General features: G+C 45.9%; 1 protein-coding gene and 1 long non-coding RNA gene across 13 annotated transcripts in view, besides 3 other annotated features; both read left to right on the forward strand.

The window, feature by feature from the left end:
* The window catches only part of CACNA1E (calcium voltage-gated channel subunit alpha1 E), a 490,386-nt gene that overhangs the window by 101,253 nt on the left and 373,835 nt on the right, over positions 1–15,298 (forward strand). The window lies entirely within an intron of this gene.
* LOC107985232 (uncharacterized) lies at positions 790–13,438 on the forward strand. Of its 2 annotated transcripts, XR_001738319.2 has the most exons (3): positions 790–4,484; positions 12,266–12,380; positions 12,965–13,438. It is a non-coding gene; the product is annotated as an uncharacterized LOC107985232 (long non-coding RNA). The 2 variants fall into 2 exon arrangements; XR_007066763.1 differs by lacking the exon at positions 790–4,484 and having other exon boundaries at positions 8,905–12,380.
* Positions 4,793–4,842: an enhancer, noted in NCBI's record as "active region_2186". NCBI's record gives its function as "activates an Ori minimal core promoter by ATAC-STARR-seq in GM12878 lymphoblastoid cells {active_cell/tissue: GM12878}" and the evidence as "EXISTENCE:reporter gene assay evidence [ECO:0000049][PMID:35858748]".
* Positions 5,822–5,911: an enhancer, noted in NCBI's record as "active region_2187". NCBI's record gives its function as "activates an Ori minimal core promoter by ATAC-STARR-seq in GM12878 lymphoblastoid cells {active_cell/tissue: GM12878}" and the evidence as "EXISTENCE:reporter gene assay evidence [ECO:0000049][PMID:35858748]".
* Positions 11,351–11,630: an enhancer, noted in NCBI's record as "active region_2188". NCBI's record gives its function as "activates an Ori minimal core promoter by ATAC-STARR-seq in GM12878 lymphoblastoid cells {active_cell/tissue: GM12878}" and the evidence as "EXISTENCE:reporter gene assay evidence [ECO:0000049][PMID:35858748]".

Below are 15,298 nucleotides of genomic sequence, written 5' to 3' on the forward strand. Positions count from 1 at the left end.
GTCCCCATTTTTGCACTTGGGGGATAGAGAGTTTAAGTCACTTGCCCAAGATCATAATGTCAACCACCTCTTAATGAGCCTCCCTGCCTCTGCCCCTCCCTGCTAGACTCTGTTTCCCCAACTGCAGCTAAAGATCCTTACTTTTTCTTTTTTGATTCACAAAGGATTTAGAAAGGTAGAACAAGTAGTTTCTGTCCAAGAGTCTTAAGAAATATTTCATATCAGTCCTTAGCTCAGTGCATGATTTCCATCTTCTCCCTCTTCCCCCTGCCCAGCCAGCCTCCTAAAGATGCATGAATGTCTTTGGTTTGATTTCTTCATCTTTCCCCTTAACTCATTCTGCACTGGCTACACTGGTCCCTTGTTATGCCTTGAATGTACTCAGACCTCCCACATCAGGCCTCTGCCTTTTGCTGGTCCCTTTGCCTAGAATGCTTTTCCCATTTATCAGGATGGCTCCTCTCTCATTTCATTTAGGTTTCTGCTCAGAGAGAACTTCCTGATCACCCTATTTAAATAGCATTCCCCCATTGTCACTCTCTTTCCCTCTTTATTTTGCTTTATTTTTCATCATAGCCCTTATTGTTTCCCCAACGGACACACAAACACACACACATACATACAAGCACAGATATTTTGCACTGGAGTGCAAGCTTCTTGAAAGCAGGGCCTTTGTCTTACCTTCAGGGTCCAAAACAGTGCCTAGTGTGCAGTTGACTCACAATAAGTGTTTGCTGAAAGAATGATGAAGTAAACATATTGAGGGGAATTGATATCCATTCTAATCAGCTAAGTTCCAGGGAAGGAGGCAGCTGAGTTCCCTGTGTCCACTGTGTGGTTGTACAGGTTGCTGACTGCAGAGTCCTCCAGTTGAATAGTCAGCAGTGGAAGTGGGGAGTCTGTTCTCTGCCCCACTTCAGGGCTGCCCAGGATCTGCATGCACTTTGTAGAGATGGAAATTTTTCCTCCCTTCTGTCTCCTGCCTTTCAGCTTCTCCTGACTTATGTTCTTTAGACAGGATCCCTTTGGCTCTAGGACAGGGGCAGCCTGGTCCTTTCCCAGGGCTTGGATTTACTGTAGTGGGAAATCAGGCAGGGTTCTCTGTGGGCAGCCCTGACAGCATCTTGCTCCTCCCAAGGCCCTGTCCACTGCTTATACAGGTGAAAGCCTGGGACACATACCACCAGCTTTACAAATCCTGTCTCCTAGACACTGAGTCAGGACCCTGGTGATAGTGAAACAGACTAGAAACCAACCTGGGAGGTCTCCTGCATTTTTTTTTTGTCTTTGGCTGGGTAAGCCAAATGCTGATGGGAGAAGGAGTACTTTAGGTGATTTCAGATGAAGCAGATTTTCTTGTACAGAATGTTGTTTTCCTAAGAACCTATTTAAAGGTTTCCTCAGGCCCACTTTTCAGGTGATGAGGACCTCTTGGTTAGCACCAAGTGTTTATTGTGTACTAAGTTTTATAACTTTAGCAAGTGGGCATGTCACAATGTTTTACTAATACTTTAATATAGTTCTCTCCAGCTTAAAACATTTTTCATACATATGATCTCATCTGAGCCTCACAATGACCTCATGAATTAGCTGTTATTATTTATAATTTACAGGAGAGAAAAATGAGCTCCGAAGTTAGAGGTGGTACTAGGTCAAAAACCTATGTCTTGATAATGACTGCCACCATTTATTGAGCACTGGCTATATGGTAGGTGATTTGCATGTATTATTTATTCTAATGGAAATAATAGGTACCATGATGAAGAACAGAAACATTTTGTATGGCACTATTATTGCATATGGGTCTGGAAGAAAGGAAATTATGTGTAACTTTAAAGTCTGCGTAGGTTGGTATGACTTACTCTATAAAGAGGGAGGGGGTATTTCCATAATCATAGTACTTAGCACACTACATTGTAATTGCCTGTTTACATGTCTGTGTCCCCCACTAGATTGTAAGCAGAGAAGTCTGTCTGCTCCCCATTGTGTCTCCTTTACTTAGTACTGTGTTGGGCACATAATAGGCACTCAGTAGACATTTGCAGATGAAAAACAACAACAACAACAGCAACAACATGATTTTTCATATTGGGAAACTGAGGCTTGATAAGGTTAAGTTACCTGCCCAGTATCACAGAGCCAGTGAGGATTCACTCCAGGTCCTCTAATTCCGAAGCCCATGTTTGTTCTACTGAGCCATCCTACTCACTGGTGTCCCTACAGTAACTGGCACAGCACTGGGTAAATGACGGGAACTCAGTTCATGCTTGAATTCTTGCAATGCTACTTGTAAATTGTGGGCTTGGGCACTTTGTAACCTCCGCATTTTTTGAGTAGAGGAGAGAAATAATACCTACCTTGCAAGCCTGTTGCAAAGTTTGACCACATTTATTAGATCATATAGTCTGGTGGGGGGTCCTCAAAATGTTGATGAGCACCAGGGTTATTCTGGGCCTCTTCTCTGCCTACAGCCTCCCTGGGTGACCTCACCAGGTCCACATATCTGCAGATGACTCTCAAATGTAAATTTCCAAAGAACCCTTGACTCTTGAAGCCAAATGCTTGTCTGGCATCTCTGCACTGTTGTCTATCTAATCAGCTTCTAAAACATAATGTGGCTAGAACAAAACTCCTGATCCTCTTCTGATCCTGTCTGGCCCCTCATTTTTCCTTATCTCAGTAAATGGCACCACTATTTCTCCAGTTGTCCGAGCCAAATATTCTCATTATCTTTTATTTCTCTCCATTTTTCCTCACTTCTGATCAGTGGTAAGCCCTGTCAATAACATCTCCCAAACATATCCCAAGTCCAAACACTTCTCCATCCCCACTGCTACCAATCTCTTCCAAGCCACTATCCTTTGGACCATTGCAATGGCCTGCTAACGTGTCTTTGCATCTTTGTTTCCCTAGAATAAGAGAATGTGATCTATTGACACAACAGGCAGGGACAATATGAACTCTTTTTGCTGGCTCATAAAGCCCTATCCGACCTGAGCTTTGCTTAACTCCTGGCCTCATCTACTCTCTCCCTTGTTCCCTGTGCTCCTGCCCACTCGCCTTTTATTTAGGCTATGCCTGTTTATGTCTCTACCCTGGCTCCTGCCGTTGCCTGGAATATTTCTCCAGATCTCAACAGGGTTGGTTCATTCTTGCCATTTGGACCTTAGCTCAAATGATACTTCCTCAGAGAGGCTGTCCTTCATCACACAGTCTAAAATAGACACCTGGTCACTGTGCCATATCACCTATGCAGTTGACCACCAACCCCCACAAGAATGTTGGTGCCGTGAGATCAGTGATTTGACTGCCTCGTTCACTCCATATCCCCAGTGCTGAGGGCAATGCTGACATATGGGCCCTCAGTAATTATTTGTGAATGAATATTTATGAATGTTCCGTAACAGTGGCTATGGTTATAGTTACGATCTATGTGTTCACCTGGCCTCTGATAGCCCTAGCCATACCAAACGGTCTAGTCCAGGAAGCTCAGGACACCACTGGCTCTAGGTCTAGACCAGGGTCAGCCCCTGGGGTGTGGAGATTCATGAGCTGTAAAACACAGGTTGGTTAACTTACAGGTTGTATGAGAACTGTCCTCCTTCAAGCTATTGTTTGATCACCACAGAGCCATGTCTTATTTGACTTTGGGTAAGATATCCAACCTTTGTGGGCCTCATTTTGCTCTTTTGCTAGATTGTGGATGAGTACAGCAACCTTTTTGAATTGTTATGAAGGAAAAACAGCATGTAAAGTACTTAGTCCGATGCTTGGTTGTTTTTCTCCTTGATGTCTGGTTCCTCACCTTCAGGAGCCTGTCACTTGCTATCACTTATAGTTTAACCAAAACATTAGATTGTGAATCTAACAATAGAAGCCTGCAACTTCTTGTCTACCGAGAAAGTGTACAAGAACTGCTAACTCATGCCCCCATGCCTAGCAACATGGCTTTCTCAACTTTGAAAGGATTAGAGTCATCCGTTGGTCTTAGGAACCAAAAACATTGATGCAACTCCAAATAAAAGTAGCAAACATGTATTTTTCCACTACCATAATAACCCTAATCCCCTTAATCTTACCCATCATTACTACCTTAGCCAACCCCTATAAAAAAGGTTCATATCCAAATTACGTAAAAACATCTATCGCATGTGCCTTCATCATCAGCCTCATCCCTACAACAATGTTTATATGTACAGATCAAGAAGTCATTATCTCAAACTGACAGGCATCAGAGGTTTGCCGAAGCCCAAGGTGCAGAGGTTGTAGTTAGGCTTGGGATCAGCTGTATACATCAACGGACCACAGCAGCATGTGGGAGACTACAGGAGGGAATGCACAGTGCCTGGCACAAGGTCAACAGTCAGTGCATATGAGCCATTATTATGATCATTATTATTATTCATCTGGTCTAGCTGCTTCATTTACAGGTGAGGAAGCTGGGGTCCTGAGAGCCTGGGTGACTGCTGGTGCTTTATGTGAAGGTCAGTGGACTGTGGTGAGTGACAAGGTAGGAGGAACCAGTCCTGCAAGTCCCACCCACTTCTGTCTCATGTGCCCTGCAGCTATGCTGACTTAGTAGGGGTGATCACATTCAAACAACAGTCTCACTGGCATTCACACCGCATTCAGCATCAGCAACATATTCTGTAAGGCAACACCTGTCTCAACCTTGAAGCTTTATGGGTGAATTTAAGGGCCATTGGGCCAATTTTTTTTTTTTTTTTGCTGGCCTTTTGAAAGGCGGCCAGCCTCCTGCAGATCTAGTGAGACTAAGTGGAGACCTCAGTCCACATGCTGCCACCTGCTGCCAGCATCAGACATCACTCGGGTTGTTAGAATACAGGAATCTGTGGAACCACTATTGCCAAAAGGGTGCATGGCAGAATTTGTTCTTATATATGAGTGCTTTGTTGAATTATCGGATATTTTAATTTTATTTAAATGTGTATGTTTTTAGAGGGGGCAGGAAGTCTCCAGGTCACTGTATTCCCCACCATTCCCTACTGCCTTAGGGCTATTAGAGGACTGACTTGGTCCTGAAGGCACCTGAGTTTGCAGGTCTGCAAAATCCAACCTTCTCACTCAGAGACGAGGCATTTCAGGATCCTAGGGCTGTAGTATAACAGGGTTGCAGAAACCAAAACATATGCCAGTGGAACACAGAAATCATGAGCCTTCAACACACTGGGTTATCACTAACCAACAGCAAGTTTGAAAACCACCAGCCAAGAAGAGACCGGAGCACATGCCCTGCTTTCTTGGAATTCTGAGCAGAGCAGGAAGGTGCAGAGAATCCAGAGAATTGGGCTTCCCTTAGGAACTGACACAATTTGGGTGATTTCTAGAGATTTGCTTTAAGATGATCCTTTGGGGAACTTCAGCACACACCCTTGAATTTTCCTTACCTGTCCTCCCGGGATTAGAAAAAAGAGGCTGTTTCTAGATCTGGTCTCTGGTGACTCGCCTTTCCCTTCAACCTTCCGCAGTTCTAGAAATGCTTCCCTAGAGAACTGGGTTTGAGAATAAACAAGGTGGTGCGCGAGCAGCGCGGTTTTCTGTGCTTGCAGTGGAGACCGCCTGTGACAAGGAGGGTCCTGTACTGGGAAGGAGGGGGACTGGCCCCCTGCTAAGTGCCTGGCGACTCTCATCTCTTGCAGAGAACGAATGCATAACCTCTCTGCCACTCCCTTTCTCTTTCTGAAGCCATTGGATGCCCTGAGAGAAAGCAGAGGGTTTCCATCTTTTCCAGAGCACAGTGCTGGGAGCAAGGGCTGGGGGAGATCTGTTGTCCCAGTTCTTCCCTTCTAAGGCAGGCCTTGGGGGAGGACTCTCCCCCAAGACTCTGCAGCCTGGTGCTCAAGCCGGATCGGCCCGTTCTGTGCTTCCTTTTGTGGTACCATCAGAGTCTCCTCCCTGTTTGGAGGCTCAGGTGAATCAGTCCCCTCTCTCCCACCCTGCCCTTGCGCTGGGCTGCCTCCACTCTGCTCCCATGGCCATATCTGTAGAAGGAGGCTCTTCAGTCTTCTGAACATGTCAAGATTCGGAAATTCTGCCCCCAGCCACCTTTTTGAAGAAAATGGGAAAAGCGGCGCCCTCTAGCGCCAGCTGCTCAATTTGTTTTCCCTCTTTTTCAGAAGAGATATTTTTTCTTCTTTTATGGTGCCCCCAAGTGGTTGTTTCTGTGTATTGCAGCCGCAGTCTCACTGGGATGCTTTCCGCTGTGTAGCTGGAGGGGCTGGGGCAGCCTGGTGGTCAGCACTCACATCACAAGAAAGGAAAGCGAAGCCAGGAGGAGAAGGGCCTTGGCAGGGCACGATGAGCGCCCCGAGACTCCCACCGCAGTCCAGGGCCTTCCCCCTCCCTGACCACTGGCAACCCCTTGCCATCTTTAAGGGCTTGCCTGGACCCATGGCTGCAAATGAGCCAAAGGCGTTTTCCTCTTGGATGTGAGGGGATGGGTGAAGACACGTGCAGAAAAGGAAGTGCTCATTGTGGAGGAGGTGAACATAATTGGAGGAATTCGCTTTGGCCTTTTTGGCTGAAAAAAATATTTATGAAATTGCTGTACACCCCCGCTCCCCCCCCCGACCCCAAGCAGAGTTAGACACCTATAGAATTCCAGGCACCGATGAAAAGACCTTTAAAATTAATCGCACATAACTTCTCATTGAAGGTGCAGGTGAGAAGGCTGAGGCGCAGAGAAGGAGGTGGGCGTGGGGCACCCTTCTGAGGACCCCACCTCAGCCGCTCATACCCCAGCCACACTGTCCTCCTTCTCTTCTCTTCTGCTTTTAGCTCCTTTAACCATCTTTCTCTTCCTCTTTTTCTCTCGAAGCCTGTAGCAGGGAGGGAATGAAGGCATGCAGGGTTGGCGTGTGAGTGAGGAAGAGGGCTTGTCCCCCTTTCCCCTCTGTCCCTGCCCCCGCCTCTCCTGGGGACCTCCTTGCAGACCCTCTGCAGCTGTGCTCACATCCCACTACTCAGCCTCACTGCTGTTCTAAAAAGGCAGCATTACTGCCTGCTGATCAGGTGATGAGGAACCTGCAACCCTTCCCAAATTTATAAAGAAAACAGAGGAATTCAGTAAATTCTCTTTCTGCTCTTGGAGTAGGACAGACCAGTGGTCAGTTCTGGGGACAGTGCTCCTGGTGTGGAGACAGTGTTGGCTGGACACACCCAGCTTGGGTGCACTGGGGTCAGGTGGTCAGGTCTAACTGCATCCCCCTCCTGTCACTCCATCTCAACAATTCCCCAACCCAGTCCTACCCCATCTCAACCCTTCCTCAACCCAACCTCTCTCCATCTCAAGTCCTCCCCATTTCAGCCACTATCCGTCTCAAGCCCTTCCTATGTCAACCCTTATCAATTAAACTCCTCCTCATCTGAACCCTTCCCTAACTCAACCCAGCTCATCTCAACCCCTTCCCATCTCAACCGCTTCCCATCTCAGCCACTTCACAACTCAACCCCTTCACAACTCAACCCCATTCCCATCATGGCCCCATCACAACTCAACCCCTTCCCATCTCATTCCCTTCAAAACTCAACCCCTTCCTGTCTCAACCCCTTCACAACTCAACCCCTTAACAACAGAACCCCTTCCCATCTCAACCACTTCACAACTTAACCCCTTCACAACTCAATCCCTTCCCATCTCAACCCCTTCCCAACTCAACCCCTTCCCATCTCAACCCCTTCCCATCTCTACCCCTTTACAATTCAACCCCTTCACAACTCAACCCCTTCCCATCTCAACCCCTTCCCATCTCAACCCCTTCACAACTCAGCCCCTTCCCGTCTCAACCCCTGTCAATCTCAACCCCTTCACAACTCAACCCCTTCCTATTTCAACCCCTTCCCATCTCAACTCCTTCCCATCTAAACCCCTTCACATGTCAACCCCTTCACAACTCAACCCCTTCACATCTCAACCCCTTCACAACTCAACCCCTTCCCATCTCAACCCTTCACAGCTCAACCGCTGCCCATCTCAACCCCTTCACAACTCAACCCCTTCCCATCTCAACCCTTTCCCATCTCAGCCCCTTCCCACCTCAGCTTCTTCACATCTCTACCCCTTCCCATCTCAACCCCTTCACAACTCAACCCCTTCCTTACTCAATCCCTTCCTATCTCAACCCCTTCACAACTCAACCCCTCTCCATCTCAGTGTCTCCCCAACTTGACCCTTCAACATCTCAACCACACTCATCTCAACGCCTCCCTATTTCACCCTCTCCCCATCTCAAGCCTACCTCATCTGAACTCTACCCATCTCACCACACCCATCTCAACCCTCACCCATCTCAACCTCTGCCCCATCTCAACCTCACTCATCTCAACTCCTTCCCTATCTCTACCCCTGCCCGTCCCAACCCCTCCCATCTCAATTCCACCGCCATCTCAACTCCTCCCCCATCTTAACCCCTCCTCACCTCATTCCTTCTCCATCTCAACCCCCTCCACCTCAACTTCTCCCTCATCTCAGCCTCTTCCTCATCCTAACCCCTCCCACCTCAACCCTTCCCCATCTCAAGACTTCCCCATCTCAACTGCTCTCTACCTCAACTCCTCCTCCATCTCAACCCCTCCCCAACTTCAACCCCTCCCCCACCTCAACTCCTCTCCAACTTCAACCCTTCCCCCACCTCAACTCCTCTACCATTGCAACTCCTCCCCCATCTCAACTCCTCCTCCATCTCAACCCCTCCCCCACCTCAACCTCTCCCCATCTCAACTCCTCTCTCATCTCAGCCCCTCCCCCAGCTGCCATCTGTTATGGTTGCTTCTTTCCCCTGTGTTTATACTTAAGCTGGGAAAAATTCCCCCTCCCTCCCTCCCTCCTCCCCTTCCCTCTTTCTGTGATGAACATGAAATTATATTACACATATAGGTCTTTGTTTTGCTCTTATTCTTTTAGTTTTTAAAAATTACAGGATATGGTGTGCATCTTTCTTTGGCCATTTCTGGAAAGATGTCCATAACATCTCTTTCACGCTGCAGAGTATTCCTCAGCATGACTGAACCACAGTTTATTCCAGCAACCCTATCAATGGATGTTCCCAGTTGCTTTGCAGTTACCAGCTGTGCTGTAGTAAGCCTCCCCTACATGCCTTTAGGATGTGCACTTTCATTTCTGTAGGGTCAAGTCCTAGAAGTGGGACTGTGGACAAGTCTTTCCCACGCTATGCCCTCACTCTCCGGAGGACTGGCACTTCTCTCAACACCCCTCCTCAGCATCTCAGCCTCAAATTGAAATGTGAACTTTCACAGTCTGTGTTATCTCTCTGGCCCCACTGGAGAGGCCCGATGAATTAATAATATGCCAGCAGGAAACAGAGAGATGGAGTTATTAATTGTCAGTCCATGAGCCCACCCTCTCAAGGTCCTAATTAGCATGCTGACAGCTTCGGTTTTATCCAGAGCTAGGGCAAGGCTCTGGGGACACTGTGGCTCAGCTAGGGGCATCCGGCACAGAGTGGAGAGCCCTGGTGCCTTTCTGGGTGGGGTGGAGGGGCGCTTGCAAGAGGCTTGTGAATTCAGAAGTTCCTTCAGGGATCCCTTTGTGCCTGCTGTGGGGTAGGGGAGAGAAACAGGCTGGGAGTGGGGGCAGGAATGGGAGTTTTAGTGTCCAGGTGGTGGTGATGGTTGGTGTGTGCTGCTCTTGGGCCCCAGTGGTGGGTTTGTGATTCTGGTTCTGCTGCAGGACAGTGACACTCACCAAGCTGTGTTGGGTGTAGTTGTCTCAGGGAGGTGCCTGCTTTCAAACCAAAGTTCCTTTGATGGGGAGGACTGACCCCAGGAAGACTGATTGCGTATCAATATTACTCTAACCCATGGCCCTCTTTCATAACATGCACACTCCTGGAAAGGATATCATTAAATCTGGCATTGGTGCATGGCCAGGCTCACATAGGGTTGCTCAAGAAATGTTGCTGTAAAGGAGGCCGGGTGCGGTGGCTCATGCCTGTAATCCCAGCACTTTGGGAGGTTGAAGTGGGTGGATCATTTGAGGTCAGGAGTTCAAGACCAGCCTGGCCAATATGGTGAAACCCCATCTCTACTAAAAATATAAAAATTAGCTGGGCATGGTGGCACACGCCTGTAATCCCAGCTATTTGGGAGGCTGAGGCAAGAGAATCGCTTGAACCTGGGAAGCAGAGGTTACAGTCAACCGAGATCACAACACTGCACTCCAACCTGGGCAACAGAGTGAGATTCCATCTTAAAAAAAACAAAAAAGAATTGTTTCTGTAAAGGAAACTACCTATAGGAAGCTGCGTGACCTTGGCCAGGCCTCTTCACCTCTCTGGGCCCTTTTTAATGTGGATTAGAGGTGGTCCTTATTTTGGTTTGCTCCATACTGGGCAGCCAGAACCATCTAGAACACCAGCCAGGACTTGCTCCCCAAGGGTGCTCCTCTGTTGCGGTGCCTGCCTCTCTGCCCAATCTCTCTCCACACAGTGGAGGCTCTGAGTCTTTCCTACTTTGAGCCCTCATCTCCACCAGCATCTATGCGTAGCTCTGCTGTCTCAGGCGCCTCTCAAGAAGTTTCAGGCAGCAGAGTTGGTGGAAGCTGAAAAGTCATTTGAATTAGTTTGCCTGGGTCTATTGCTCAGGAGCCTGGGCACATCTCTTAACCTTTCTGGGGCTGAGGACACCAGCATTCAGGGTTGTGTGTGAGGTGCTTAGTATGATTATTACTCATGTTTGTTATTAGGCTCTGTCCTGCTTCCCCCAGGCTGTGGCCGGGAAGACAGAACAGCCATTTACACAGTAAGCTGCCCAATGACCCTGCCTTTCCCATTCCCAGTCTGCTTTTAAAAAATATGGGTGTCTAGACCCCAACCCTCAAAGATTCAGATCAGTTCATCTTAGGTGAAGTTTTAACAGGAAGATGTATATAGATGTATATATTTTACAAGCTCTTCAGGTGATTGATTAGTTTAAGAACCATTGATTGAGACCCATGGCAACTGGGCGGGCAGGTACCTTGTGCTCATGGGGCCTGCCCAGCCAGACACAGCCTTTTTCAGGAGCAAATCCCCCTATCTCCCTTTTGGGACACAGCAGACTGTCTGAGATCATCTGATGACCTCTACATACTCTTTTCTGGGACTAAGCTGCCTTTCTGGATCAGTTAGAAGGCAACTGGAACATCTCTGAAAGGTTCTGGATCTCTGTGCACATACAGTAAGGGGACAGAGCTCATTCTGTGACAGTCTTACCAATGCACCACAATGTAGCAGTCTCTCGTTGTAAGGCATCACCCGGAGTTCTTCGTTTCATGACCAAAAAAATTAAGGAGTGTGGACAAAGGGTGAGGTTAGAACGAAAGTTTAATAAGCAAAAGAAGAAAGTCCTCTGCCACAGAGGGGACCCGAAAGAGGGTTGCCTTTTTACAGTTGAATTCAAAAGCTTTTATAAGAAACTCCCCTCATCTCTGTAGCTGTTTGTGTAATTCCCCTTATCTGTGCAGCTGCGGGCATGTCCTTAGGCAAGCACAAAGCACAGCTTCTCTTGTTCGGGTTACTGTGGTTATGTTTTGGGTAGGTCCCCCACCTCCCTGTGCAAGTTCCCATGGAGCCCACTGTGTACATGCCCGAAAAGAGGAGGAAACCTTTCTGTGGGAGCCCACTGATTACACCAAGAACAAAGGCTGCTATGTTGGGCCTTACTTGCTTGTCTGTGCAGCTGCAGCCTGAGTTTTCCCCAGGCTGCTCTATTTGTGCCTGTAGCTTGATTTTTCAGGCTGTCTTTCATTTTGAAAGAATTTTACCAAAGACAAGCTTTAGCTGTCTGCCCAACTAGTTTTTCCTTTTCTCCTCCCTCAACTGGATCATAACTTATGACTCTGAGGCTGAGTCCTGGGATAGTTGGATGTAGAGGGGGCATTATCTGGATTTGAACCCAGTAATTCTTAGCTGTCTGATATTACATAAGTTACTTAGCCTTCCTGAACCTCACTTTCACCATCTATAGGACAATATGTGCTTTGCAATAATAACATTAGATTTCTAGAAACACACACACATGCATAACACCAGGAACAAATTTTCCTATAACTTATTTTATTGATTTCTTTTACATATATGAAATAGAAAAATGATATTCCAAAGAATTATACCTCTCAATTTTTTTTAGGAAAAATGTTTAAAAAATAAAAAAAAAAGAATTCAAATTGTGCAAGTAAAACAAAAGGTAAATTGGAGCTCTGCTTTAAAGTAAATTTCAATAGAAGATTGTTGTTGTTTTCTTTAAGTAAGAAGCTGAAATTGCGGAGTGAGTTTTGATGTGGCAGTGTGTATGCTGTCTTGGTTATCCAGCTGTTTTGACTCGGTTTTGATGGCAACATATACTGACCATGAAACTCAGAGGTAAGTAATTTCACCATTTTGAAGACACCCACAGCTCTTGACATTTTCAAAGGGTGGTTCCCAAAATAGGAGTTCTTTTGAGATGGCATTGGTATATTCCAGGGTGATGGATGCCAGAGATTGGCTGGGTGGCTTGATCTGGGTTGCAGACAGTTAAAAGTTAAAGAAAAGTAGGGTAGCTTCTACTTCCTTCATGACCTGGTCCAGGATATTAACAGACATGCCAGTGGACCTGGGTGCTTGATGTTACTTAACACAGGTATCATTTCCACTTTTTCCCTCTGCTCCAAGCCACAGGGAAACTCAGCCATTTCCAGGGCCCTTGGTTTCAGGAAGGTCTCTGCAGTTGCATGGAGCCTGCTTTGCCTGGCATTCTGCAGGATTCTTTAGTACAAGGATTTTGACTGGGTCAAATCAGAGATTTGGGCAAATTCCTGCATTTTAAAATAGTCTTCTCCTAAAACCCTTTCATTCTATGTGATGGACAGATAAGAGATACAGGGCTCCTGTATCAGAAATTTTATTTGACTTTTGGAGTAGAGTGACCTGAAGAACAAATTGCAGTTTTATTTTTCTCATTACAGCAAGTCAGGAGGAGGCAGCCTGGGCCTGGTGGGGCACTTCTCTGATGTCAACAGGGTCTGCCCACCCTGCCATCTTTAGTGTGGCTTCCTGCATCGCCGATCGACCAAGTGGCAGACCTGAGGGCAAAAGGAAGCCTGATATTGGAGTCAGCCCCCTTTGGAAGAACTTTCCCTACAGCCCACCTAGTAACTTCTGATGATACCTCCTTGGCCTGATTTAATTCAGTGCACCAAAAATATTATCATTTCAACACAAAACCAATGCAAACAAAGAATATGCCCCTAAATGAAATGGTGGGATCTAGTTTAATTTTTATCAAGAGACCTTCCTGAAGCCAAGGGCCCTGGAAATGGCTGAGTTTCCCTGTGGCTTGGAGCAGAGGGAAAAAGTGGAAATGATACCTGTGTTAAGTAACATCAAGCACCCAGGTCCACTGGCATGTCTGTTAATAAAAAAATTTTTTAATGTTTTCATTCATGTATCGTTTCAACTGAATCACATGTACCCTAAAACTTAAAGTATAATAAAAATAAATAAATAAAATAAAATAACAAAAAAATGTTTTCACAAAGACAGTTTTCAAAGTAACAAAGGACATTGAGAAAAAAAATCCTTTGGTTGTTCCAAGTGTACAGAACATCAGATAAAAATAACATCAATTTTCCACAGAGAAACCAAATATGTCATTTAAATGCTTCCAGAATTAAACATTTGATGTGTATGTTGGGTGAGGAGGCAACAGGATTGGATAGGGTGGTGGGAAGTCTGAGTTTTGGTCTCCCCTCTCTCACTAACTAGCTGTGTGGCTTTCACTAAACAACTCCAGCCCCTTAACCTCACTAGCTCAGTTTTATCATCTGTAAAATGAAAGGATTGGTCTCGATCAGTGCTGTCCAATAAAAATAATATTTGAGCCACCTGTATAATTTTAAGATTTTTAGTAGCCATGTTAAAAAAGCAAAAGGAAACAAGTAAAATCAATATATTTTATTTAATCCAATGCACCAAAAATATTATCATTTCAACACAAAACAAAATTATTGAGAAAGTATTTTACATTTTTTTGCACTAAGTCTTTGAATGCTGTGTATAATTTACCCTTCCAGCACATCTCAGTTTGGACTGGCACAGTGTCAGGCGCTCAGCAGCTGCACACCTCTCCTGGCTACTGTTTTGAATGGTGCTGCCCTCCAGAGCTCCAAGGTTTCTTTCAGTCCTGACCCTTGAGGATTGTCACCTTTTTTTCTTGACTCAGCTTTGAGTGTCTTGGCCTCTCTTTCCATCCCCCAACCTGGGGCTTCTCTTCAGGCATGGGGTGAAGGGATCAAAACCCTGAGGGCCACCCCCACTCCATGATTTCTTTCTGCACTGTCTGCTCTCTGTCCTGTGCTTTCCTGATTTGGAATCACTTCCCTCGCTTTTTCTCAGGCTGAGATCCCTCCCAGCTTGCCTTATCTCTGCCTGGTCCCTGAGGTAACCCATTTGCAGCCTCCCATTCCTGCTCTGTCTAGGCCATTTCATGTTCTCTTAATTTTGCATTCCATTGCCTTTAAAATCTTCAACCACTTAAAAATGTAACAATATACATTTTTTTCTTTCATTACAAAAGACGTGCTCATTGTGAAACAATTGGGAAATATAGGAGCTTATAAAGAATAATATAAAAATCACTCATAATCCACTCACTCCAACCCAACCACTGCTAATGTTTTGATGTGCTTATCTTTGGTCTTTTTCTAAGCATTACGTATACATGTAAATGTGTTTTAAATTTCTTTTTCTGGAGATTTTACAGAATATATAGTTTTCTATTCTATTTCTTTCACTTTTCATTATACTGTGAGCGTTATAACAATATCATTAAGTATCGTTTGAAAACATCATTTGTAATTGCTAATGGCTGAGGTTCAGGGAGAGATTTTGATAATATTATGTCACCATTAAGCTAGGGACTTAGATAAACTTAGTATCTGCCCTGCTTCTCATTCCTCCTTGTTGAAGAGCTCTTGACCAATGTAAAAAGCAATAGCCAAATGTGAAATAAAGAACTACCTTATTAACAGCTCAGCAAGCACTGGAGACCGGCATGTTTGCATTTCCACGCTCATTGGTCTAGGTGAGGCTTCCTGGTCCCCATCCCTGGAATCTAAGATGAGCTGGGCTTGTGGAGCAACCTTGGGCTTGACTTTCCTACTTGGCTCAGACTGGCTTTGGCAAATTGCTTAACCGCTCTGGGTATGTCCTTATCTGTAAAGTGGTGATTATAATAGTGCTCACCTCATAGGTCTGTTGTGCAAATTAAATGAGAGAGACATATAAAGTGCTTATCATAG

The sequence above is a fragment of the Homo sapiens genome, chromosome 1, assembly GCF_000001405.40.
Source record: "Homo sapiens chromosome 1, GRCh38.p14 Primary Assembly".
Lineage (NCBI taxonomy): Eukaryota > Metazoa > Chordata > Mammalia > Primates > Hominidae > Homo > Homo sapiens.